Here is a 25370-nt window from a genome sequence, read left to right as displayed (position 1 = left end):
AGGGAGGGGAACACTGGAACTTGTGCTTTGGGTAGGCGATAGCTAAGGATTCTCTCTCGTCTGGGTCACGGAGATTGTGCAGCCACAGAACACCTGGTGTCATCAGGGCCTGAGCTCCTCCCTTCTACAAAGACCTCTGGTCTGCAGGCCTGCAGGTACAGTGCTGTGGGCCACAAGGCACTGCCTGTCGTATTCATCTCCACTCTCTAGCACATCTGGCCTCACGCCACCCCCGGGAGGCCGGCAGGCAGATATCAGCTCCACTTCCCAGATAAGCAAGGGAGCCAGGTACTACCCAGGGTCTTGGGGGCCACACCGCTGGCGAGGGACAGGCTGGGCCTGGCAGACAGCACTGGCAGTCGGTGAAGTGCCCACCTCAGTGTCAGCCTCAGGTCCTGACCCTGGAGGCTGCTGTTACTGAGCTGTGGGGACCAGGATGCCCTACCATGATGGAGACCCAAGCCTCTCTCATGATGACTATTCCCAAGGGCACTGCAGAGGGGAGGAGCTGTCTCCTCCTCCGTGTGGCCCACGCAGAGCTGGTGCAGGTCTGAGTGAGCTCACCAAGACAGGCCAATCCCAGCCCCAGACTCCAAAGCATCCCCAAGAGGTCAGGGAGAGGCTCTGTGCCCCTGACCCCAAGGATATGCACAGGTCACAAGGCAGAGCCCCCGCTAGACAGCAGGAGCACCCTGCTCTGTCAGCCTGCTTCCCCAGGACGGAGGCCCTGGTGGTAAGGCAGGCAGGTCTTGAGCCCCCACAAGACAGCAGGATACAACATAACCCTTTTTAATCTGAAGTGTAGACTTCATCCTCACGTTAGAAAACTCCATCTTTTTTTTAATCCCTAAGTTCTTTATCAAACCTTTATGTTAAAGATATAAATAAGTCTCATACAAAGTTCATGTGAATACCTCTCTGAGACGCATTTTCAACATTCATCACCGTTCACACGGCCCCGCTCCTGGGGCCAGGTGCCAGTGCGTGCCGGCCCCTGGCGTGACCCGTCGGCTCGCTGTCCTGATGGGCTACATGTGTGCACAGGAAAAGCAAGTCACTACCACTAGTGACAGTATTTCAGCTGTTCTCTGGACCCCTCCTCTTTGCTGGCCCAGGTGGCACAAGGGTCCCATCTCCCTGGCAGGTCTTAGCCGGCACAATCCAACGCTGCAACCGGCTGGCTCTAGGCCAGCATCTCTTCTTCTGAGTCTCTGCCTCCTCCTCCAAGCAGATGCAGGCTGTCATCTTCAGATGCTTCTGCCTCCTCCTCACTTCCCAGCGGGTCTAGGGAGCGTTTTGTGCCCCGCTGCTTGGAAACTGCTAGTGCGTACTGCATGTTATAGTGGTTCCAGCTACAGCTGTCAATCACACAGGGATGGTCAATGCCAGCAACGCCCAGGCCCTGGCCTGTCCTGCACCCAACCACCTCCTCTGTGACCCCTGAGAAAAGCAGCAGGGGCTGGACATGCCGGTTCCTCCACCCCAGCAGCCATTTTTTTCCTCTTTTCCCTGCCCCAACAATCTGGTTCTGCCCCATCCAGCCCTGGGGCAGCAAAGGCCTTCAAGGACCCAAGGACCCAACTGTAACATCCCATCCCTTTGGGGTCATCCTGGCAGCTCAGCCCTTCCGCTGGGCCCAATCTAGATGGCTTCACCAGCAAGTTCCACCAAACACTTAGGAAGAGACCGCTGCAGAGCTATGTGGTGTTGTGGAGCGAGAGGGGAGGAAGGCACGCTCTGAATCAGTTAATTTTCTGAGTTAATGGAATAAAGGAGAAAAGTGATGCCACCATCACTTTACATAGGAAAGGAGAACTGAAAGATAAATGGATGAGAAAGGAAGGAAGCGCCCCATCGCATCTGCAGGGCACAGGACCCTCTGTGCAGGACTCTTCCTGACAGCCAATGGCAACCCTACAGATTGGCAGTGAACGCCTAGACAGGAGGTCCAAGGAACAATGCACTTACGTGAACTCTAAAAACATCCCATAAGAGGGAATAAATCTAAAGGAGCTGGGCCGGGTATGGTGGCTCATACCTATAATCCCAGCACTTTGTTTGAGAGGCAGAGGCAGGCAGATCACCTGAGGTCAGGAGTTTCAGACCAGCCTGGCCAACAAGGTGAAACCCTGTCTCTACTAAAAATACAAAAATTAGCTGGGGGTGGTGGCGTGTGCCTGTAACCACAGCTACTTGGGAGGCTGAGGCAGGAGAATTGCTTGAACCTGGGAGGCAGAGGTTGCAATGTGCCGAGATCACGCCACTGCACTCCAGCCTAAGCAACAGAGCGAGACTTCATCTCAAATAATAATAATAATAATAATGAATTAAAAAATAAATAAATACATAAATAAGGGAGCTAGACAACCCTCCTCCCCTACAGAGCTCTGTGAAAAGTCCAGGACATCTCAGCCGAGGGAAGGCCTGGCACCAAAACTGTGGATCAGGGCACATCCCAGCCTTCTGTAGGGCACCCAGAACACGAGGGGAGGACAGGCTCGACCTGGACTCCAGGACTCTTTCCAAAGACTGAGTGACACTTCAAGGACAGACAGGAGGACCACATGAACCCACAAGGCCCAAACTCAGGCTCTGCCCCTGAACCCTGGACAGAGCAACTCGCAAACAGGACAGAGAACAGACCGTTCAGAAACGCAGCTGGGAAACCCGGCAACTGATTGGCAACAGAGGGTGATATCCCTCACATGGCTACTCTGAGGCCTGCCTAGTCCCGGCTCTGCAGGACCTTTAGGGAAGGTGAATTGGTAGGGACAAAAAAGGCACAAACCACAAAGAAATGACAGGAGAAGAGGCGGGCACCCCTGCAGAGTGAGCACTGCGGAGGGCCAGGCCCTGTCCTAGGCCCGCGGATGAATCCTCGCAGCAGCAGCAACAGCACCCTTTTCTAGGGGAGCCACAGCTCAGGGCAGCCACACCTCCAGGACTCCAGGCTGCCTGGCCTCACAGTCCTGTGACCACCCCCACTGCCTGTGCAAGTGACCTGCAAATTCAGGAAAGGCTGCCTGGTCCTACGAATGCGGCAATCCCTCCAAGAGCCTGGAGGATTCCGGCCGCACCTGGAGCGCGCCACCTGCAGCCTGTCTGCCTGCCACAGTGCTCACTGCTTTCCATTCAGCGCCAGGCCATTTCCCAAGCTGCTCAACCACGGGGTGGCCGGGCAGGTGCAGTTCACCCGCAGGTGAGAAGACAAGCCTCCAGCACTGGTTCCTTTTGTCCTCAAATCAGATGACACAAGGAGCACTCCACAGTGTGGACCAGCAGGGGACCGTGCACCCCACCCACCCCCAGGCCCTGCACCCACACGTACAGTTTCGACAGGTCGTCCAGGTGCCGCTGGATGCTCTTCTGGAGGAACTGAATGACAGGCAGCAGCGTCCCGGCTCTGAAAGGGAGACTCCCTAAGCGTGCGGGGCTCACCCCGTGGTACAGTGGGCTCACTTCATGCTGCATTGGCATGTCAAAGTTCCCTTTTATCCAGCAGGACAAGCTGGTCCAGTGACCTGAGCCACCGATGAACTGCGGGGGAGACCCTCTACCTGGACTTCAGCTTCTGTCCGTGCAACATGAGCAGTTTGTGAGTCCAGAGGAGGTAGAATTCCAGGTGGCGAGACACTTCAAAGGAGGAAGCTAAAAACTCCAGCACTTTCTCCACATACAGTTCAGGAAGGGAGGAGGTGACCACTTCAACTGCAAAAGGAGAAAAAATCATGCTTATTCTGCCACCAACTCAAACCAGGGGAAGAGAGGATGACCCCGGCGCCCGACACCGAAGCCCCAACTCACTCTCGCCCCTGGGCACCGCCTCCAGGGCCTCCTGCACCAGTTTGCTCTCGTTGAGCCGGAGGGCCATGAGGATGGCCCTGGTGAAGTCCTGCTGGCGCAGTGCCTCGCGCACCCTCCCGGGGGTGACGCTGGTGTCCAGCTCAAACGGGTCAAAGAGCACGCGGGTGTCCAGGGAGTAGATGAGGAGTCCCTCCGTGGTGGTGGCCGCCCAGCAGCGCCCTGGGAAATTAAGCAGTGCTTTCCTAAAAATTTAAGCTCATTCCTCCCAACATTTTTTTTCTTTTTTTTTTTTTTTAAAGAAACAGTATTAAGTACATTCCCCTGGGACAAAGTGCAAAAATCAGGAGGAACCGGGACGTCTGCCTCTAGCCCCCACCCCACTACTCCCCTGGGAAGGAATGAATGGATCATCCCAGAAGTTACTCTCCCAGGGATGCACATATAAGCAAATATGTACACGCATGCGTCCTCCTCTCTTGACGCCGGGAGCCAGCCAAGTCTTCTGTCTAGCTCAGGCGTCTTCAGCTCCGCAGGCCCTGTGGTCTCTGCTGCACCTACTCAGTGCTGCACGGATCACTAGAGACAGCCAGAAGGATCCGCCAACAAAAAAACGCCCAGTAAAATGTCCCAGTAAAACATCAGTGACCAAAGCAGGTGGCCAGCCAGATTTGGCCCTTGGGCCCGAGGGCACAGACCCCTGGCTCACATGGGCCTCTCTGCCCCTGGCTCTGACACTCAGTCTAGGCTGGAGCACGCTTGCCAATAGCCCTGCTCCTGGCTCCTCTGTGTGGGGACCATGTGCACCGCCAGGCTCCACAGGCCTGTGGCACAGACCCTCCTCCCCACTGCGAGAGGATGGGGGCAGTGCGCAGGAGACGGGCTCTCCGTGATGGCAGAGCCGCCCCCAGGCAGCACGTCCAGGGCACTCGGGGAGCTGCTAGAGCAAGGGCATACCAGGCCTGCCATGTTTCAAAGCTCAGTGCATCTGAGGTTGGCACCGTGACAGCCATCCATCCTCAGGGACAACAGCCATCTTGTGGCCTGCAGGGTTTGCAGGGCCATGTTCTTACCCAGGGGCACAGGGCACAGCCCAGAGCCTGCAGACAGCTCCATGGTGGCCAGCCTTGCTATGGCACAGATGCCCCAGTGCCCACCGGCACCAAAAGCCCATGGCTCAGTGCTCACCAGTGGGAGAGAAGCGGAGTGAGGTCACCCTGATCTCAGGTTTGAAGTGCCGAGAACTCATGTCACCTGGGGAAAAAAGAACCGTTAATGATCACTGGACAGCATATCCAGGCTGCTCTCCCCACGAAGCAAGTCATCCTGCGGTCTCCCGGCTGGCTGGGGGGTGCTGTGGGAGCCCCATCAAGAGCAGCAGCCTCTACTCATTGGGTCCTGCACAAAGCGGAGGCAGAAGCAGCCCTTCCCTCGCTGCAGCTGCGGCAGGTGGGCCCGTGCTGGGGCCGCGGAGGCTGTTCCGGGTGAGCTGCCAAACAGATGGCCCAGCCCATGGGGCAGATGCTCAAAAAAGCCAGCCCGGCCAGCAGACTGTGTGTCCAACCCAGAAAAGGGCCCCAGCCCAGCCCAGGAGTGGGTCTGCTGTGCTCAACACGGTACCCTGGGCCTGCATATGGAAGCACTCAGGGTTTCTGGCTGGCGAGTGTCCCATCAGGATGGTCTACCTGGGACCCAGATCTTCTAGAGCACCTGGCTCTCTGTGCGGCGCACATGGCCTCACGCCAGAATGCTCCGTGTGCTGTGCAGCAGACGGGGCACCCAGTCCCAAGAGCAAATGGACGGGTCCCGCCAGGGCAGGGAGGCCACGTGTAGCAACACATGGGCAGCTTCTCCTGCCCAGGGGCTGACGGCACCAGCACCAACCCACTGGGCCTTTGACACCCCCAGTGTCCAGCAAATGTCACCATGTAGTAACTGTTATTTCCACACACTGCAGCCCCAACCAGGGGCATGAATGCGTGGTCACCCAGGACCGGTGAGTGGTGGGCAGATGCGGGAGGAACCTCTGCTCACCTTTCCTGACGCCTGGCAGTGGTATCGCGACTCCATCCTCCTGCCCAGCATCCTGATCAATTAGTGCCAGGTTGCCAAACTCTGTCATTTTTCTTCGGTTCAAAAATTCCTAGAACAGCAAAAGCAGTGGACGCCTTGCTTCTGATGGCCTGGCCGCCTGGCCCTCGTCTCCTACCCTTGCTCTTTGACCCCAACACCAGACAAGCCTCAGCCCTGTCTAGAACAAGGACGGGGAGAGAGCCCTGCAGTGCCCCAGGGACTCTTCCTGCAGAGCTAGCTGCAGACAGGGTGGGTGTGGAAGCTGTGGAGCAGGGCAGGTGCGGAGGCTGCGGAGGGGGATGGACTGAGGTCTACATGCTGGCATTGCTGCCACCATCACAAAGGCTGGGGCTCACAGCGAGGATGGCCGTCTACTCCCTTGTGAAAATGCCAAGGACACTTTCCCCCAGAAACATTTAGGGGACAGTGGGCTTCTGCCCCGATGGGGCGTGGACAGGTGAACCCAGCAGCCACACCCCTGCTTAGAGGCTACCAGGGCTTCCTCACTCTCATTCTGAGGTCCTGCAGGAGCCAGCATGTGAGTGGGACCTGAGCCGAGGGCTGTGCTGAGGGGGAAGGGCAGGCACCAGTGGGGACAGTGAAGGCAGAGCCTTGTACACAGGACCCCGGGCAGGAAGCCATCGGGCAGGGCCTACCAGCACCCTCTTCGTTCACTCCTTCCCTGACAGATGTCCGTGTCTCCTGAGCCAGCGTGTGCTGGGCACTGCCCCTCACAGCTCCAGCCTCCTAGCAACCAGCCTCGGCAGGGTCATCCACAGCAGTGGTTCCCAACCCCTGGTACTGGCCCATGGTCTGTTAGGAAACAGGCTGCACGGCAGGAGGTGAGTGGTGGGCAGGTGAATGAGTGAAGCTTCATCTGAATTTACAGCCGCTCCCCATTGCTCGCATCACCACCTGAGCTCCGCCTCCTGACAGATCAGTGGCAGCATTAGATTCTCACAGGAGTGCGAACCCTATTGTGAACGACACGTGAGGGATCTAGGTTGCACCCTCCTTCTGAGAATCTAATGCCTGGTGATCTTGATCTGAGGTGAAACAGTTTCATCCCAAAATCAATCCCCCCAACCCTGTCTGTGGAAAAATTGCCTTCCACGAAACCGGTCCCAAATGCCAAAAGGGTTGGGGACCGTGGCTCCACACACAGCTGAGGCAGGTGCTGGCTTCACGGCCGGACTCTGCTGGGGCAGGTGAGGGGCCCGTGCACTTAGATACAGGACAAGCACCACAACTGTGCCCAAGGCCCCATGGAGCCAGGAGTGCAGAACGCAGGAGCCCGACGCATTCCACCTGCATTGGAAGCAACATCCATCCGGCCCCGCGCTGGCGGCTCACCTCCATGGCGTCCAAAGACAGGTTGCAAGAGATCTCGAACCTCTTCATGAGAATCTGCTCACGGACGTGGTAGATGCACACGAACTTGGACATGCCTCCCGCCAGGATGCTGTGGCCGTCTGCAGAGTAGCACAGGGCGGTGAAGGCCCTGGGTGGAGAGGAGACATGGACTTACGGTGGCCACCACGGAAACCTCAGCGTATGGCTCCTAAAAACCAACTTTAGGCCTGCATGGTGGCTCCCGCCTGTTATCTCAGCACTTTGGGAGGCTGAGTTGGGAAGATTGCTTGAGTCCAGGAGTTCAAGACAAGCTTGGACAATATACCAAGACCCTGTTTCTACAAAAAATAAAATTAACAGGGTGCGGTGGCACATGCCTGTAGTCCCAGCTACTCAGGAGGCTGATGTGGGAGGATCACTTGAGCCCAGGGGTTGGAGGCTGCAGTGAGCCATGATTGCACTCCTGTACTCTAGCCTGGGTGACAAGAGCGAGACCGTGTCAAAAATCAAAAATAAAAATAAAAATAAAAATAAATAAAATAAAAACTAACCTTAGGAAATAGAGGAGATCCTATACCAGCCCTCCAGGAAGCAAACACCAGCCTCAGCAACTTTCGCCAAGGCTCGCTGCCTCAACTCACGCGAGACTTTTAAAACCCACAATGTCCAATGGTGCCATCACCTGGTTCCGCTCTGAGCCAGCACCACCCTTAGATGCTTCCGCTTCCTGAGAATCAATGTCTTTTTCACAAAAGGAACAAGTGGCTCAAGGAACAGTGTTCCCTGCTGAGGTCAGCACAAAACGGCGACCAGTCGGCCTCCACCCTAAGCAGCCTACTCTCAGTCACGTCTGCTTAGTCCTGCAGAAACCAGAAACCAGCCCTTACCACCCCGCTCAACAGACGCCTCGGGGTGGGCAAGGTCCCTTAGTTATGACAGTAGAGAACAAAGAACAACAGAAAAAATGAGCAAAGTGGACATCATCAGAACTAAGAGTGCCACCAAAACGGTGGAAAGACAGTTCACAAAGCGGAACAAATATCTGCACATCAGGTATCAGAGAAACCCCTAAAATCCACAACCAAAATCCAAACAACCCAATTCAAAAACAGGCAAGAGACCTGAACAGACACTTCTCCAAAGAAGACTTACAAACGGCCAAGCCGCAGACAGAAAATGCTGAATGTCACTAGAGAAACCACAATCACAACTACAATGAGATACGAATTCACATCCACCCCAACAGCTCTCATTAAAAAAATAATAATAATAAAGCAACAAGTGCTGGCGAGGAGGTGGAGAAGCCAGAAGCCGACAGCGTTCCTCGTGGGAATGGCAACCGTGCAGCTCCTCCAAGCTGGAAACAGAACCACCAGCACCCAGCAGTTCCACACTCAGGGCGAACCCATGAGGACTGCACACAGGCATTCATACCACTTCCAAGACAGGGTCGCTACTTCTTTCTGGAGGAAGACCTTCTGCTGAACAGGTTCTGAGCTCCTGGGACACAGGTCCAGCCCCCAAGGCCACCCACCCCGGGCACATCCCACAGATCCTCCCCCTTCTCCTAAGCCTGACCCCCACCCAGTTGAGCCTCACAGCCCAGCCAGGACCCCGCGCAGGCAATTTGGTCAGTGCTGTGCTGGCCCGACTCCTTGAGACAAGGGGACACTATGTCTTCACCATCCACGTAGCACTCTCTAGTCAAGTGAGGTGACTGAGGACCTGCATTTTTACTCTTAGGAGGCTGCCAGGGCTGTTTTCTGCTTTTGTTTGTTTTGTTTTTGAGACAGGGTCTTGCTCTAGCACCCAGGCTGGAGTGCAATGGCATGACGCCATCCTCACTACAGCCTTGACCTCCCGGGTTCAAGCGATCCTCCTGCCTCAGCTTCCCGACTAGCTAGGACCACAGACATGTGCCACCACACCTGGCTAATTTTTCTACTTTTTGTAGAGATGGCATTTTGCCACGTAGCCCAGGCTGGTCTCAAACTTCTGGGCTCAAGCAAACCACCCGCCTCAGCCTCCCCAAGTGCCAGGTCTCCAGTGTGAGCTCGGGCACCCGGCTGCTCTCCCCTCTGCACACCAGGACGATGTCATAATTCAGGATCAAGGTTTGGAAGTGGATGCAAGCTCTCAGCTGAACAAGTTTATGTTCAGTAAATCCAGACGTCCTCCTGTGCTGGGGGCTGTGCGATCCCAGGAGTTAAGGAGGACATGGACTCTCCCCAGAGGGCTCAGGACCACCTGCCTCCACCCACAGGGACTCAGCGGTCTCAGGAACAAAGAACAAGGCCAAAAATGGAGAAGCTGCAGGAGCCTGGTGGCTGGCTGGGGTCTCAAATCAGGAGGCCCGATGCTGACACTCACTTCCCCTTGGCCGCGTGCTTGGCTGTAATCTTGTCCAGCTCCTTCCTGCCAGTCTTGAGGTCATGCCTGCCCTCAATGGAGCCCGTCTGCACCGCGTTCTCAGGGTCCCAGAAGGTGATCTGTGAGTTCAGTGTGGCCACAGCCAGCTCCGCACCATCAGGGCGAAAAGTCACAGCCAGAGCTAAACAGAGATGCAAAGTAAGGCCCAACGAAGACCCCAGTCTCCCGCAGGCAGGCCACCAACCACCCTTGGCTGGAGACCAGGCCGTGCCCTGGCACCCCTAAGAGACCAGCGCCTGTTTGGTCTGGTACACAAGAATCTCCTCCCAGGAGAAGCTCCAACCCAGACAGGTGAGGAACAACTCAGCGCCAGTGAAGAGCACCAGGCGGTCCAGCTGGGGCCACAGGACCCACAAAGGCCGATGGAGGGGGCGCTGGGAAGGTGAGGCTGATGGGTGAGTGATGGTGGTTACTGAGGGCGGCTGGACAGACTAGAATACAGAGCCTCTGCAAAGAAGCCACATGTGATGCCAAAAGCCTGGCCAATGCCAGGCCTGGGGGTGGGGTGAGGCAGCGGGAAGCAGAGAGAACCAGCCTCCTGGGATGGCAGAGTCTGTCCACACCCGGACATGGATGGGCTGGGTCTTTGTGAGCCACGTGGTCTTTCAACACCGCCGCTGAGGCATTGACAGCCACAGACCATATGAACACAGGAGGCCACGGCTGCCTCTAGTACAGCCCCGTCAGAAAGACAGGCAGTGGCCTGAGGCCAGTCTGCAGATCCCTGGGCAGCCGCATCTGGCTTCCGGGCCCACCTATGGCCCCCTCATCCTTCTCCCAGTCTGCAGATTCCGGGACTGGCCGCATCCAGCGTCTGGGCCCCCCATGGTCCCTGTGTCCTTCTCCCAGTGACACAGCCCTGGCAGAGCTCCAAAGCAACTCCGAAAATCAGGAAGCAGCTGCGGCAGCAGCCCTTCACCCTCGGGGAGCTGTTCTCTCCTGCCTGGCGTACTTGCCCACAGAGCGGGAGCCCCACAAGGACTTGTGGAAGCCACGCTGGCCTGACTCGCCAATCTGCTGTCTCCTAGGTACTGCCAACCTCAAGGGCTGCCACACCAGCAGGTCTGGATAAAAGCCACCCCCTGCTTCCCACCAGAAGGTTCACACCAAACCCACAACGAGGAACAGGGCAGTGGGTGTGACAGCATGCTGCTGGTCCCCAGGCCGCTGCTCCTGCCTGCTGCCTCGTGCTCACCATCAGAGGTCAGGGCCAGCGTCTCCTTGGTCCTCCAGCTGTCAAACATGTCCCATAGGCGCACTGTCTTGTCCCAGGAGGCACTGGCCAGGACGGACTTCATTGGGTTAAAACACAGACCACTGATGGGCCCTTCGTGTCCAGACAAAACCTACCGTAGAGCAAGGAGGCGTGAAGAGTGGAGGTGGCGGCCGAGGCGGCTCTCTGGGCAGCTCTGGGCCAGGGGCATGGGCCCTCGGAGTGTAACCTCAGCTCCCTGCGCTCCTCTCCCAGGAGACAGGAGGGCCCCTCCTGAGCCCCAGCCCAGCCCCTCAGGGTGCTTACATCAAGGAGCCTGCCTGTCTGCATGGACCACACGAAAATCTCAAAGGAGTCCTGCGCCCCTGCAGAGACGATCTCACCGCTCGCATCCACCGCCACACAGGAGAACTGGGTGGGGCGTGGAGAGGTGAAGGTGCGGAAGTTTCGGTACCTGCAGAGAAGAGGCAAGGTCAGAGTCACGTGCCAGGGTCCCCTGCCCCAGCAGCTGCACTGCAGCCTCACCCTCCACCTTCACCTCTGCGTGGGGGAAGCCTGCCCCAAGCCAATCCGGAGCAAAAACATCACCTGTGAAGGTCAAAGGCTCGCACGGTCCCGTCCATGGATGAGGTCACCACAACGTAGCCGGTGGCAGTAAAGGTCACACCGGTCACCCCGCTGGAGTGCTCCGTAAAAGTGACGAAGCAGAAGCCGCTGAGGGTGTTCCACACCTTGACCTGAGGCAGGACAGGAGGGGCGGGGGCAGACCCCAACCCTGTGTGCCACGGCTTCGGCCAGGATCCCTGTCCCCATGCCGCCCCACCTAAGATGCTTGCCCCTGTACTGCCCCATCCCTGAGACCCTACCCGTGAGTAATACCCCATCCCTGAGACCCCCAACTGTGACTGACACTCCATCCGAGATCCCCGCACATGACTGAAACCCCATCCCTGAGACCCCCAACTGTGACTGATACCCCATCCCTGAGACCCCCACCTGCAACTGACACCCCATCCCTGAGACCCCCGCATGTGACGCCACATCCTGAGAGCCTTGCCCCTGTGCCCACGGCTGCCCTGGCTCACTCAGCCTCCCCAACAGGCCTGAGGCTGTGCTGAGTGGGTGGTGAGTGGGCCGTCTGCCCCAGTCTCTTCCTGTCACCTCCAGGAGGAGCCCATTTAAGGCCTAGATGGCCCGCAGGGGCACTGCACACACCAGAACCCTGTGGATGCTGGCCGGATGCCAGCTGCCAGTACCATGGACCCACCCTCGGCCACGTACTGGAGCCCCTTGGACACTGGCTGGATGCCGGCTGCCGGCACCACAGACCCTCTCCCCGCCACGCAGCCACCACCGTGCAGGAGACCAAGTCAGAAAGGGGAAAGAGGGACACCCAACCCTCTCCATTCACATTTTTGTATGTTTTTAAACGCCTACTGAGCTCATGAGCCCGGGTGAAGCTGTGAACACCAGCCCTACCGTCAAGACACGGCCCCACAGACCACTGCATCTTCACAGCCCCCCAGGCACAGAGGCCAACGGGACGGGGACAGGAGCCTACCTTGCCGTCGTCCCCGCCAGTCACGATGTACTGTCCGTCGGGCGAGTAGGCCAGGGCCACCATGCTGTTGAAGTGGCCCTGCTGCTTGAGCACGTAGGACTCACTCTGCCACTCCCACACCAGCAGCTGGCCCAGGCCTGTGCACACGGGGGAAGCTGGGGTACCCGGCTCAGGCCCACCCCAGGTCAGACTGGCCCGGCCCACCTTCCCACTTGGCACAGGACTGAGAAAGCTGCCGGGCAGGGGGTGAAACGCACAAACCCCCAAGCATAGGCTGGGACCACTGCCCGATGCTGCAGCTTCACCAGCCAGTGATGGGCCCCGCCCGTGCAACCCAGTGGTTGCAGGTCACAACTGAGGCAGGCTATGACCCCCGACCCCTGAGCAAGGGGCTTAAGACAGAGAGGTGCTTGAGGAGGGCCAGAGCAGGAAGGGCACCCCTGGGAGGCAGCTGGAAGAGAAGAAGGCACCCCCTGAAAGGTGGCTGGAGGAGGGGAGGGCACCCCATGGCAGACAGCTGGGGGAGGGGAGGGCCCCTTCTGAAAGGCGGCTGGGGGAGAGGGCACCCCATGGAAGACAACTGGGGGAGGGGAGGGCACCCCCAGTGGGTGGCTGTCAAGTATGCCTGTAGCCGGGCAGCACTGGTCCCTAATGGGGAGTCCATCTCTACCACCCAGGCGGGGGACAAACCTGAACAGCCAAAAGCAATCCAGTCCCCCGAGCTATTGATGGCCACTGAGGCGATGCTCTGATCTGAAATGCTGCAGAGAACGGGCCTGTAAGTGGGAGGCCAGCCTGCCCGGGCTGAAGCCCCAGTGCCCACTCAGGGCAGCCCCAGACACCAGATTCTATCCCTGTGTGCAGAGCTTACCCCACCCACTCACCAGACTCCAACAATTCACTTCAGTTCAAGTATCAGAGGGCTGGGTGCAGTGGCTCACGCCTGTCATCCCAGCACATTGGGAGGCGGAGGCAAGGATTGCTTGAACCCAGGAGTTCAAGACCAGGCTGGGAAAACCCAGCAAGACCCGTCTCGACAAAAAATTTAAAAACTAGCCGGGTGTAGTGGCGCACACCTGTGGCCCCAGCTCCTCAGGAGGCTGAAGTGGGAGGATCATTTGAGCCCGGGAGGCGGAGGTTGCAGTGAACCGAATTACGCCACCGCACTCCAGCCTGGGCGACAGAGCAGGACTCTGTCTCAAAGAAAAGAATCAGAGAAGGCCCAGAGGGGAGGCCAGGGTTCAACAACTTGCAACTTCACAATTTTATGAGCATAGTATTTTCGTTCTCTGTGTCTCACAGATGAAGAAAAGCGGAGACAAAAACTTGAAAGGCTGTGACTGACCCGAGACCAATGCTGCTGACTGCCAGTGGGGGCGGCAACACTGTCGCACTGACCAGCACCAGCGGCCGGGCAGGTTTCGGGCTGCCGTCCTGTGGCCTGAGCCGGCGCTCCAAGTGGCTCTGCTGCCCCCACTGCTAAGGGCAGGCTTGGCTGGGCCCTCAGATTCAGGGCCAGTGAGTGCATAAAACCACACCCCACTGCGAGCAAAGGCTTACCTCAGGGAGTGGATGAGGTTAAACTCTGGCAGCTCATGAAGATGGAAGATTCCAGAAGCAAAGCCAGTGACCAAGAGGTGAGACTTCTTATGAAATGCTGCAGCTGTCAGGTTGTTAAAATCCCCTTCTTTATTGAAGAAGTACCTGAATTGACGAGAGAGAAGAGTTGTGAGGAGGAGCGCAGAGCCAGACTGCCACCCCAGCTTGCTCTGGGCTCCAGGACACAGGCCACAGATCCAGGCAGGAGGTCCCAGACCTGCCCTCTCCCTCTCCACCCCAGGCCCTGAAGCTGCCCGCCTCCATCCCAAGCTCGGGACCCCAAAGGAACCTCACACAGCATCTCCACTGTCGCCAGCTGGCCCCACAGCAGAGCTAGTGGTGCACCCAGAGACAGCAGTGCCCATGGGAGGCAGAGGAGGTGCGGGAGGCGCGGCATGGCCGCCAGGCACACCCGAATCCCATCATCCCCTGCTGCTTCCTCCTCTAAGGAACCCTCGGTCCCCATCAGCAGACGAAGGTGACCCTGATGGCACCCCCGCCCTCAAAACCTCCCCAAGTCACGTTGTAGCTCAGCCCTGGTCCTTCCCTCTCCTTTCTGGACCCCGTCCCTCCTGAACAAGTGACAGGGAGCACTGGCTGCCAATGCAGCAGGCCCTCCCTTCACATGTTTCGCGCTGACAGCCCGCAGTCCCCGCCTAGCAGGCACACTGTCTTCCTGGAGCTGCCTGGAACCTCCCTTCCCCAGGGCGGGGTTGGGGGGCCCATCATCCCTTCCTCTTCCTCCAGTCCCCATTCAAGTCTTGACTCCAGCACAACACCCCCAAGTCCCCGCGGGCACTGACGGGCACGGACTCACGGGCACTGACCCACCCGCGGGCACTGACTCACTTGTGGGCACTGACCCACTTGGACCTGTTCTGGCCACCCTCCAACTCCGCTGCCCTTGGCAAAGCACCCTCCTCCCACTGGAGTCCAGCCGGCCCTCCCTGCTCCTCAGACCCAGGGCTCTCATGGCCACAACTCCCACCTACCCAGCAGACCCCAACCCCTCCAAAGGCAGCCCGTTCTGGCCGCCTGGCTCCCTCCACAGGCAGGGCCTTGTGTGGGCGCCTTCCCCACCCAGGGACCCCAACTGCCGCCCACCTCCGCACGCAGCCACCTCATCACTGCACCTCTCCTCCCCGGCGGAGAGGAGGCCTCACAAGGGTGGGCAGTGTGTCTCAGTGCCAAGTTCAGAGCCCTGCACACAGCAGGCGCTAAGCAACTGCAGCAAGGAGGGGCCCAGGCTGGGGCACCCGGGTGACGGAGACACCATAGCTGCGGGCAACTCTGCCTTCATGTGATCCTGACCAGCCTCCCCCCACAGCCCAGACGCGGGACACCCCGAATCAGGGCAGCATCTCTGCCAGGGCTCCAGGCACAGCTAAGGCCATCCCACAGGCAGTCCGTGGGGCCGGGCTCAGTCTCATCTCATCTCGTCTCGTCTGGGGGACTGAGTCCGGATGCGGGGCTGCACGGCCCAGCTCAGTGCCTGAAAAAGCACCAAGTACCACCCACCAGCGGGCCCCGAAGCAGGACTCAGACCACTCGCTGCGCCCACTCACAGCCCGGTCCCTCCCTCCACCCTTGCCAAATGCTCTCCCGGCATCTCCCTGCACGAGGCCAAGGGACTATCGCCCACACCAAACTCCACAGAAGCTGGTGGGGCCACAGACAACTCCCAACCCCCTTAGGGCCCAAGGTGCTGCTATTCCCGTCACGGAGTGCCCGCACACCTCCCTGCCCCCTATGCACCCCTACCCACCGCCCTCTGCCCTGCCCTGGGCACACAGGCAGCTCAGACAGCCGAGGCAGGGACCCTGCTTAAGGGGCAGGGTCAACACCCAAGCACTCGAGGGTGCTCAAACCGGGGCCCTGAGACGCAGGCCTGCTCTCTGTACCTCCCACTCCTCGGCCCTGGGGACCCCACATCCAGATCCCTCTGGGGGCAAGAGATTCCCACAGGAGTGCCCCGCCACAGCCCACCACACCTCAGAGACCTACTTGGCCAGCCGTGAGTACTTCACTTTTCCTGTCTTCTCCTCCTCGGCCGGAGTGGCTTTTCCCCGGATGGTGGTCTCTCTGTCGCCCTCCTGGTCCTCCTCCTCCTCCTCTTCCTCCTCCCGCTGCAACAGGTCTGCTTTCCAGCCCGCAGGGGGCTTCAGCCGCAAGCCCTCGGGGGGCGTGTCACACTGCCACATGCACAGCACTCCGTCCTGGCTGAGTGAGTACAGCTGCAAGGGGAAGCACAGGGTCACCCCAGCCCCAGCCACACTGGCCCAGCTGCCACAACCCGGCACCTCCCTCCAGCTCAGATCCAGGGACCAGTGGCACCGACGGCCCCTCTGAACTCTGAGAACAATTCTCGATGGGCCGCCACAGCTGCCATCGGTCCCTAGATGCCCCCAGGCCACACGGGAACAGCCTGGGGGAACCGCAGGAAGAGGCCGCCTGCAGCCTGGGGCCTCCCTGAACTAGCCGCTTTTGGCCACCATCAGGCTAGGGAACTTGGCAAAGGGACATACGTCCAGGCTGTTGGATTCAAAGAAGCAGGCCACGATGGCATCCTTATGTCCCCCCAGTGCATAGTAGATGAGGTTGTCCCAGCGCTCGGCTCCGAACACCCAGGTGGACATGTCTTTGCTCCCAACCACAAAGCACCTGGAAAAGAGGGAGATGGCACCTCCTCAGGGCTTGGCCATAACAAAGCAGCCAGGTGCAAGCTCCAGAGGGCTGCACGGAGACCGCTACAGCCCCACGTGGTCTCAGAGTGAGCTGAGACGCCTCCAGGCACAGGAAGACACCCCGGCACAGCCCCTGCCCTGTCTGCCTTCCTCACACCTCCCAGACGCTGTCCCTGCCCTGTCTGCCTTCCTAACTCCTCCCAGACGCTGCCCGAGCCAACCACAGCATTCCCAGTTTCTGGGACAAACAGGTGAAAGGGCAGTGCAGGGGCAGGAGGCTCGGCCACAGCACACACTTCAGAGCCGCAAAGACTCGACCACAGCCACCCAGCCAGTCCTGATGGTGTGGGCAGCGCCCAGCCCCAAAGGAGGCCGAGATGCCATTGCGGAACGAAGCTGCAGGGCCCAAGGGGGTGACCTGTCCAAGGGGCCTCTCTCAAGCCCCGCTCCCCCGAAGCCTCTGAGGCCGCACCTGGAGTCATCCGTCCAGTCGATGCAGGTGGTCTCATCGTAGGGCCCAAAATAGGTCTTGTCCAGAACGAAGGCGTTGAACTCCCGCTTCTTCCCAGGGGCATGATACATCTGGGCAATGTTACCCTTTGTGACAACAAACTTCCTATGGAAGGAACGCGGACATAGTTGATATTCAAGACCAGCAATGGCCCTAAGGCCACTGTGGAGTCTCAGCCTGCACCCACCTGGGCCTTCTGGAGTCCCGCCTCCTGCAGGATGGAGGCCAAGGAGCAGAGGAAGCAAAAGTCAGGGAAGAAACAGCCCTGGAGGGAGGGCAGCCTGGCCGCACCAAGCCTTCTCCTCCAGAAAAGGGGGTCACCAATGCCAGAGCTTGGGCCGTGTGCCCAACCCAACGTCACAACCCGGGGCCCAGGGAAACGAGCTGGGCAGTGGGCCTCACCGTCGGCATGCACGGCCGAACCCTCCTGCCCCCAAGCTGTCCCCCTTACCTGCCATCAGGGGAGAAGGACACACTGTGCACAGAGCCCTTGAAGTGGAAGTGGTGCAGCACAGACCTGCAGACCAGGCTGACCAGCAGCGCATCGCCCCCTGCAGGACGCCAGAGGTCACCACCGCGCAGCTACCCCAGGGGCCACCCCAGATACATAGCACGGGAAAAACGGAGAAAGGTCTTTCTCGCGTCCACTGTGAGGAGTCAGGACTGAGAATGCCCAAGGGCCATGAGGCCCTGCCCTGCCACAGGTGATGCCACAGACACAGCCTGCGGCGGGGACGCAGCCTCGCCCATGACACCCTCATCCCCAATCCCCACCCGGGCCCCAACACGGAGGCGACTGGGGAGCGGATCATTTCAGACCCACACAGCCCTGAGTCCTCCTCACTGGTCCCCTCAGTACCCGCCCACATCAAGGGCAAGTACCTTCATCGACGATGATAGCGAGGCGGCCATCCGGGGACAGCCCCACGCACTTGACGTTGTACCGAGTGGCCAGGGGCAGCGTGTCAGATTTGTTGCTGATAAAGACAAAAACCACAGTGTGCTGTTGGTCCTCAAGTCACATGAGGGAGACAGGCCAGGCCTGGCCTGGGACCAGCGGCTCACCCTCCCCAAGTAGCGCCTCCAATCTTACTGGACCCCACAAGCCAGAGCTCATCTGTGGATACCCCCCACTCCTGAAAAAGAAATGACATTGTTGGCCGGGCACGGTGGCTCACGCCTATAATCCTAGTGCTTTGGGAGGCCAAGGCGGGCATATCATAAGGTCAGGAGTACGAGACCTGCCTGGTCAACATGGTGAAACCCCGTCTCTACTATAAAAACAAAAAACAAAAAATTGGACAGGCGCGGTGGCTCACACCTGTAATCCCGGCACTTTGAGAGGCCAAGGCGGGCGGATCACGAGGTCAGGAGATTGAGACCATCCTCACTAACACGGTGAAACCCCGTCTTTACTAAAAATACAAAAAATTAGCCGGGTGTGGTGGCGGGCGCCTGTAGTCCCGGCTATTCAGGAGGCTGAGGCAGGAGAATGGCGTAAACCCGGGAGGTGTAGCTTGCAGTGAGCCAAGGTTGCACCACTGCACTCCAGCCTGGGCGACAGGGCAAGACTCTGCCTCAAAACAAACAAACAAACAAAAAAACCCAAAAAATTAGCCAGGCGTGGTGGTGGGCGCCTGTAATACCAGCTACTCAAGAGGCTGACGCAGGAGAATCGCTTGAACCTGGGAGGCAGAGGTTGCAGTGAGCTGGGACCGCACCACTGCACTCCAGCCTAGGTGACAGAGCAAGACTCTGTCTCAAAAAAAAAAAGAAAAAGAAATGACGTTGTCCCTGGAGGAACTCTAGTGAAATGCATTAAAAGCCTTAAAAATGGGCTTTGGATACATCAATTCTGCTTCCAGGATGATATGATGAGAGGATTATTCCGCCTCAGTGTGACATCAAAATACCAGAAGCAAGCTAAGTGCCCAACAGGAATTAACCACCATGACAGTGCACCCATGTAACACTGTTGCTAGAAAAATGGAAAATAAGGGGCTACAGGAATCCCGCGGAGATGCTGCAGATAACGCTTACACTGCAACTGAGTGAGGCACACACATTCCAGCTTCCCCATAAGCAGCCGAGCTGTGTTTACACCATACTGTAAACAGTACGGCGTAGTCTACTAGCGTGTGCTGTAGTCTGTAAGCGTGCACTGTGCTCTATTCGTGTGAGTTGTAGTCTGTTCGTGTGTACTGTCGTCGAAGTGTGTACTTTATTGGTGTGCGCTGCAGTCTACTCATGTGTGCTGTAGTCTATCAGTGTGCACAAGCATTCTGTCTAAAGCAACAACGTGCATCCCTTAATTTAAAAACACTTTACTGCTAAAAAATGCTAACAATCATCTGAGCCTTCAGTGAGTCTTCATCTTTTTGCTGGCAGACAGTCTGCCTCGATGTGGATGGCTGCTGACCAGGCACAGTGGCAGCTGCTGAAAACGGGGTGGCCGTTGCCAATTCCTAACACAACAGTGAAGCTTGCCGTATCGATGGACTCTTCCTTTCACAAGATGTCTCTGTAGCATGTGATACTGTTTGATAGCATTTTACCCACAACAGACCTTCTTTCAAAACCGGAGTCAATCCTCACAAATGCTCCCAGCGTTTTATCAACTAAGTTGATGTCATATTCTAAATCCTTTGTTGTCATTTCAACAGTCTTTACAGCATCCTCACCAGAAGTAGATTCCATCTCAAGAAACCACTTGCTGGCCGGGCATGGTGGCTCACACCTGTAATCCCAGCACTTTGGGAGGCTGAGGCGGGTGGATCACCTGAGGTCAGGAGTTCTAGACCAGCCTGGCCAACAATGATGAAACTCCTTCTCTACTAAAAATACAAAAATTAGCTGGGCGTGGTGGTAGGCGCCTGTAATCCCAGCTACTTGGTAGGGGGGCCCGAGGCAGGAGAATTGCTTGAACCCAGGAGGTGGAGGTTGCAGTGAGCCAAGATCATGCCATAGCACTCCAGCCTGGGGGACAAGAGTGAGACATTGTCTCAAAAAAAAGAAAAGAAACCACTTGCTTTGCTCATCCACAAGCAGCAGCTCCTCATTCATTCAAGATTGATGGCAACATTGCGGCAATTCAGTCCCATTTCAGGCTCTGCTTTCATTTCGAATCCTCTTGCTATCTTTACTGCATCTGCAGTAACTTCTTCCACCAAAGTCTCGAACCCTTCAAAGTCATCCATGAGGCTTGATACTAAACTTCTGTCAGACTCCTGTTAATGTCGACACTTTGCCCTCATTGAATGAATCATGAAATGACAACTAGAATGGCGACTCCTTCCCAGAAAGCTTTTTATTGGCTTTTCCCAGATCCATTACAGGAATCACTATCTTTGGCAGCTAGAGCCTTATAAAATATATTTCTTAAATGGTAAGACTTGAAAGTTAAAGTTACTCCCGTAGGCTGAAGAAGAGATGTGGTGTTAGCAGGCATGAAGACAGCATCTCCTTATGCGTCTCCATTGGAGCTCATGGGTGACCAGGTACGTTGTCCAACAGCAGAAATATTTTGAAAGGAACCTTAGTGGGTTCAACAATGGGCTGGAAAGATTCAGGAAACCATGCTGTAAACAGATGTGCTGTCGTCCAGACTTTGCTGTTCCACTTATAGAGCACAGGCAGAGTAGCTTGGGCATCATTGTGAAGGGCATTAGGATTTTCAGAACAGTGAATTAGCACTGGCTTCAACTTAATGGCCCCAGCTGCATTAGCCCCTAATAAGAGAGTCAGCCTGTTGTTTGAAGCCAGACACTGACTTTTCTCTAGCTATGTAAGTCCTCGATGGCATCTTTTTCTTTTTTTTTAATTTATTTATTTTTAGATAGAGTCTTGCTCTGTTGCCCAGGCTGGAGTGTACTGGCACGATCTCAGCTCACTGCAACCTCTGCTTCCCAGGTTCCAGCAATTCTTCCACCTCAGCCTCCTGAGTAGCTGGCATTACAGGAATGTGCCACCATGCCTGGCTAATTTTTGTACTTTTAGTAGAGACGGGGTTTCACCATATTGGCCAGGCTGGTCTCAAGCTCCTGGCCTCAAATGATCTGCCTACCTTGGCTTCCCAAAGTGTTGGGATTACAGGCATGAGCCACTGCGCCTGGCCATCTTTTTCCAATAGAAGGCTGTTTTGTCTCCATTGAAATTTTGTGTTTAGTGTAGTCAGCTTCATCAATGATCTCAGCTAGATCTTCTGGATAACTTCCTGCAGCTTCTCCATAGCACTTGCTGCTTCGCTTTGCACTTTTATGTTGTAGAGATGGCTTCTTTCCTTAAACTTCATGAACCAACCTCTGCTAGCTTCCAACTTCTTTCCTGCAGCTTCCTCACCTCAGCCCTCACAGAACAGAGGACAGGTAGGGCCTTGCTGTGCATTAGGCTTTGACTTGCTTAAAGGAATGTTGTGGCTGGTTTGATCTTCTATCTGGATCACTCAAACTTTTATCCGTATCTGCAATAAGGCTATTTTGGCTTTCTTGTAATTTGTGTGTTCACTGGAGTAGCACTTTTAATTTCCTTCAAAAGCTTTTTCTTTGCATTCACAACTTGCCTGTTTGGTGGCAGAGACCTGGCTTTTGGCCTATTTCAGCTTTTGACATGCCTTCCTCACTAAGCTGAGTCCCTTCTAGCTTCTGATTTCAGGTGAGAGTTGTGTGACTCTTCCTTTCACATGAACACGTAGTGGCCACTGTAGGCCATTATTAACTGGCCTAATTTCAGCATTGTTTGTGTCAGGGAATAGGGAGACCCAAGTAGAGGAAGAGAGACGTGGGGGGGTGGGGAACAGCCGGTCGGTGGAGCAGGCACAGCACACACAGTGCTTACCGATTAAGCTCGCTGTCTTACATGGGCACGGATCACGGCACCCCAGAACAATCACGATAGCAACAGCAAAGATGATCACAAATCACCCTCACAGGTATAATAAACTTTGAAATATCACAAAATTACCAAAATGTGACACAGAGACATGAAGTGAGCCCCCACTGCTGGAAAAATGGCACCGACCAACTTTCTCCAAGCAGTGTTTCCACACACCTTCGCTTCGTGGTAAAACAGCATCCGCACAGAGCCAGAGTGCAACAAAGTGAAGCAAAGTGCAACAGCACACAGGAAGAAACCGCTAAACCCCAGCGAATAAAACTGACCTCCGGCTGCAGAGCTGGAAGCTTTGGGCCTGCCCGTCCGACTGGTGAGGCCCAGTGGCAGCAGGGCTCCCGAGCAGGGGTCCAAGGTACCTTCAACTCCCCCAGCAGCCCTGGCCTTTCAGCCCTTAGGGGCCTTCCCTGATGGGGGAAGGGCTAACCCTGAGCTACACCTTTTCCCCCACCCACCCTTCACAGCACAGGGACAGGGTCCCTTCCCACAGAACGGAGCCAAGTGACACACCACTTTATGGGGCCTGGCTAAGGCACTACAACGAAGAACTGGGTCTGGCTGCCAATTTCCACAACTGATCTGCTGACCCTAGTCTGTCCTGTAGTCCTGTCCTGGGCTCCCTTAATTAACGGGTGCACCATTAAAAGGAAGGCACAGAAGACACTATCAGTTTTCATATGTTACTTAAAAAATGGTGATAATAGTAATCAGTATCACTATTATGAATACCACTTTCACATACTTACTTTTTAAGGTCAAATACAGTGACTCTATTGCCCACGGGACTGATAACTGAATTTCCATCGCAGGTAAAATTTAGGTTCCCACGCCGGTACACCGTACCCAGCAAATTTGAAAACTGTGAAGAAAACAAAATTGTCTTAACACAAAGAAAACAGTCGACTCCCAGAAAAGCACTAAGTGAGGCATCTGGGCAGAGAGATGGCATAGAGAACCCCACCTTGGGGGCCCGTTCACCTTTCCTGGGTAAGAGAGGAAGAAGTGAGCCTGATCCTCAGGAGACCAGAGGAGCCCGGGCGGCCCCAAGCTCCCACAGAGATGGGTAAGATGCCCCTGTGAGCACTGAGGAAGCCTCCCAAGACAGGAGGCGTCTGCCAGGTGAAGAGGGGCATGGAGCCCACACTTCACCAAGAAAAAAGCTGCAACAATGGAACAGCACCCCAAAAGTGCTTAGAACTCAGGGCTTCCAGAAGTGTGGTAAGCCAGCATCCTATTTACTAACTCACGAGCACGAGCGTTCACTGGAGACTGCCATGCGCACAGACACGCACACCTTATATTCTCTCTCTAGCAGGAGGGGGATGAGAAGTGTGGGAGCAGGGGCTACTTTAGACGGTGGTCACGGAGAGGCACCTGGAAGGGTCACCTGAGCTGGAATCTAAATGGGAAGGCACCAGCCAGGCCCTGAAGCTGTGAGTGGGCAGCGCCCTCAGGACCTCAGGGAGGAGCTTGGTCAGCAGAAGGACTTTAAGCGGCCAGGCAGGCTCCAAGGCACATTTTTTGCCACCTTGCAGTAGGAATGTGGAGCGGATGAAGTCCTGGCCTGTGAGGACGTGGATATGGTTTCTGGTTTGGTGCTGGGCACACAGCGGTGGCTCCACCAGCACAGGGGACACAGGAGCAGCACTCTGAGGGGCCAGTACCATGCCCAGTTTCGGACAGGACAAGTGTAGTACACGGTGGGCTCAGCAGCAGGCGGCCCGTGCAACCCTGGAAGCGCAACGGTCAGGGCCACTGTGGGAAACACAGGCGTCCCCATAACCGGCCAGCTGTAGCAAACGCTTCAGAGACCCCCAGGCCGGCTCCACGGCCCCCTCTTATTACCTGTCTCACCCGCCTCCTGCACTTCACATCTGGGACAAGTCTTCCCTGGCTCTCAAAGCTGAGGGCGTCCGCCTCAGGAATTCCCTCCGGCCTCGGGAAACAGAGCTCACACCTGGGTTCCCCGCCCTTCCGCTCACCTGGACGCTCGCTCGTTAGGGACCAGTCCCGGGCCCCGGGTCCCTGCTGTTCTCACCCCGCCTGCGCGCGCCCGCGTCCCCGCCCCGTCCCACCTCCTCATCCCTCCCGAGGGTGCTGTGCCCTCCCCGACTGCACCAACTCCAGCCTTTAGGTTGGGCCATACTCAGGTTAAAAATATCCCGGGACCCCGACAAATGTCCCTGTTCCCTCCGAGAAGCCGTCGGCGCCTCCGTCCCAGCTCTCCCAGGAGCCCCACCACAGCCCCGCGTCCCCGAGGCCACGGGCGCGCAGACAGCCGGCGACCCCCACGCGGCCAGACGCCGCAAAAGCAGACCACGCGCCCCCAGCCCGCCCGGAGCCAGCTCAGGCGCCGTCCACCGGAAGAGCCGCGCCGATCCAACAGACCGCCCGCCGCCCGCGCTCACCCGGTAAGCGAACTTCATCACGGCCGTCGCACGTGTGCCGCAGCTCAACCCGGCGGCCGCCCACAGAGACACTTCCCGGGGGTCCGCGCGGCACCGCCCACAGCACGCACTTCCGGGAAGCGACGGCGTGCACCGCCCACAGCGCGCGCGCCCGGGACGGGGTCGCGCACCACCGTCCGCAGCGGCCCAGGAGGCAGGAGGAGCTGCGTCGCCCTCGCCCCGCCCCGAGGCGGAGTTTGAACGCGAGGCCCAACCCCTCCCAAGGCGGGGGCCTTCTCCGGGCCCCGCCCACACCCCGGAGCCACACTGCAGGGCGCCTCTTAGGCGCGCTCCAGCGCTGGGCGCGCTCCGCACGGACGCCCAGCCTGGCACAGCAGCGTCCACAACATGAGAGCGCTGCACACCCAAATGTCTTCGTTCTTGTGAACTGTTGGGTAAGGAATTATGAATAAAGTCCCGAATGCTGGCCGGTGCGGTGGCTCACGCCTGGGAGACTGAGGCGGGTGGATGACCTGAGGTCAGCAGTTCGAGACTAGCCTGGCCAACATGGTGAAACATCATCTCTACTAAAGTATAAAAATGAGGCGCATGCCTGTAGTCCCAGCTACTCGGGAGGCTGAGGCAGGAGAATGGCTTGAACCTGGGAGGCGGAGGCTGCAGTGAGCCCAGATCGCGCCATTGCACTCCAGCCTAGGCAACAGAGCATGACTGTCTCAGAGAAAAAAAAAAAAAAAAAAAAAAAAATAATCCGAATGTTTCCCAAAAGGCAAATAATCTATGCCCAAGAGTCAGGAACAAGGACTAGGGAGATAAAACAATAAAATCTTCACATTACATACTGTTGTCACAC

The 25370-nt window shown here is 57.1% G+C and overlaps 1 protein-coding gene across 1 annotated transcript, besides 4 other annotated features; it reads right to left on the bottom strand.

The window, feature by feature from the left end:
- Nucleotides 774-24556, bottom strand: PWP2 (PWP2 small subunit processome component). The gene is made up of 21 exons (NM_005049.3): nucleotides 24521-24556; nucleotides 22859-22971; nucleotides 18108-18202; nucleotides 17677-17776; nucleotides 17187-17330; nucleotides 16556-16691; nucleotides 16035-16264; nucleotides 13992-14135; nucleotides 13122-13192; nucleotides 12432-12568; nucleotides 11459-11607; nucleotides 11177-11324; nucleotides 10853-11003; nucleotides 9598-9778; nucleotides 7228-7375; nucleotides 5836-5944; nucleotides 4990-5055; nucleotides 3805-4023; nucleotides 3558-3708; nucleotides 3329-3403; nucleotides 774-1358 (listed from the first exon to the last, which is right to left on the bottom strand). The coding sequence occupies exons 1-21, from the start codon at nucleotides 24536-24538 to the stop codon at nucleotides 1184-1186; spliced, it is 2760 nt and encodes a 919-aa protein (NP_005040.2). The 5' UTR covers nucleotides 24539-24556; the 3' UTR covers nucleotides 774-1183.
- Nucleotides 17673-17967: an enhancer, noted in NCBI's record as "tiled region #9823; HepG2 Activating non-DNase unmatched - State 12:CtcfO". NCBI's record gives its function as "activates a minimal TATA promoter and a strong SV40 promoter by Sharpr-MPRA in HepG2 cells {active_cell/tissue: HepG2}" and the evidence as "EXISTENCE:reporter gene assay evidence [ECO:0000049][PMID:27701403]".
- Nucleotides 20640-20842: a silencer, noted in NCBI's record as "fragment chr21:45530994-45531196 (GRCh37/hg19 assembly coordinates)". NCBI's record gives its function as "represses an EF-1alpha promoter that drives an FKBP-Casp9 reporter gene in an ReSE screen in phorbol 12-myristate 13-acetate-treated (for megakaryocytic differentiation) K562 erythroleukemia cells {active_cell/tissue: K562(+PMA)}" and the evidence as "EXISTENCE:reporter gene assay evidence [ECO:0000049][PMID:32094911]".
- Nucleotides 24494-25010: a silencer, noted in NCBI's record as "fragment chr21:45526826-45527342 (GRCh37/hg19 assembly coordinates)". NCBI's record gives its function as "represses an EF-1alpha promoter that drives an FKBP-Casp9 reporter gene in an ReSE screen in K562 erythroleukemia cells {active_cell/tissue: K562}" and the evidence as "EXISTENCE:reporter gene assay evidence [ECO:0000049][PMID:32094911]".
- Nucleotides 24520-24903: a silencer, noted in NCBI's record as "silent region_13211". NCBI's record gives its function as "represses an Ori minimal core promoter by ATAC-STARR-seq in GM12878 lymphoblastoid cells {active_cell/tissue: GM12878}" and the evidence as "EXISTENCE:reporter gene assay evidence [ECO:0000049][PMID:35858748]".

The sequence above is a fragment of the Homo sapiens genome, chromosome 21 (assembly GCF_000001405.40).
Source record: "Homo sapiens chromosome 21, GRCh38.p14 Primary Assembly".
Taxonomy (NCBI): domain Eukaryota; kingdom Metazoa; phylum Chordata; class Mammalia; order Primates; family Hominidae; genus Homo; species Homo sapiens.
This window is presented reverse-complemented; position numbering and strand designations above follow the sequence as displayed.

Bases quoted from the DNA above. Each gene is read 5' to 3' on its own strand.
- PWP2 (NM_005049.3), bottom strand. The intron at 5,945-7,227 runs GTGAGCCGCCAG...TTGCTGTTCTAG, and splicing joins TGTCTTTGGACGCCATGGAG to GAATTTTTGAACCGAAGAAA. The intron at 4,024-4,989 runs GTGAGCACTGAG...TTAATTTCCCAG, and splicing joins ACTCCGCTTCTCTCCCACTG to GGCGCTGCTGGGCGGCCACC.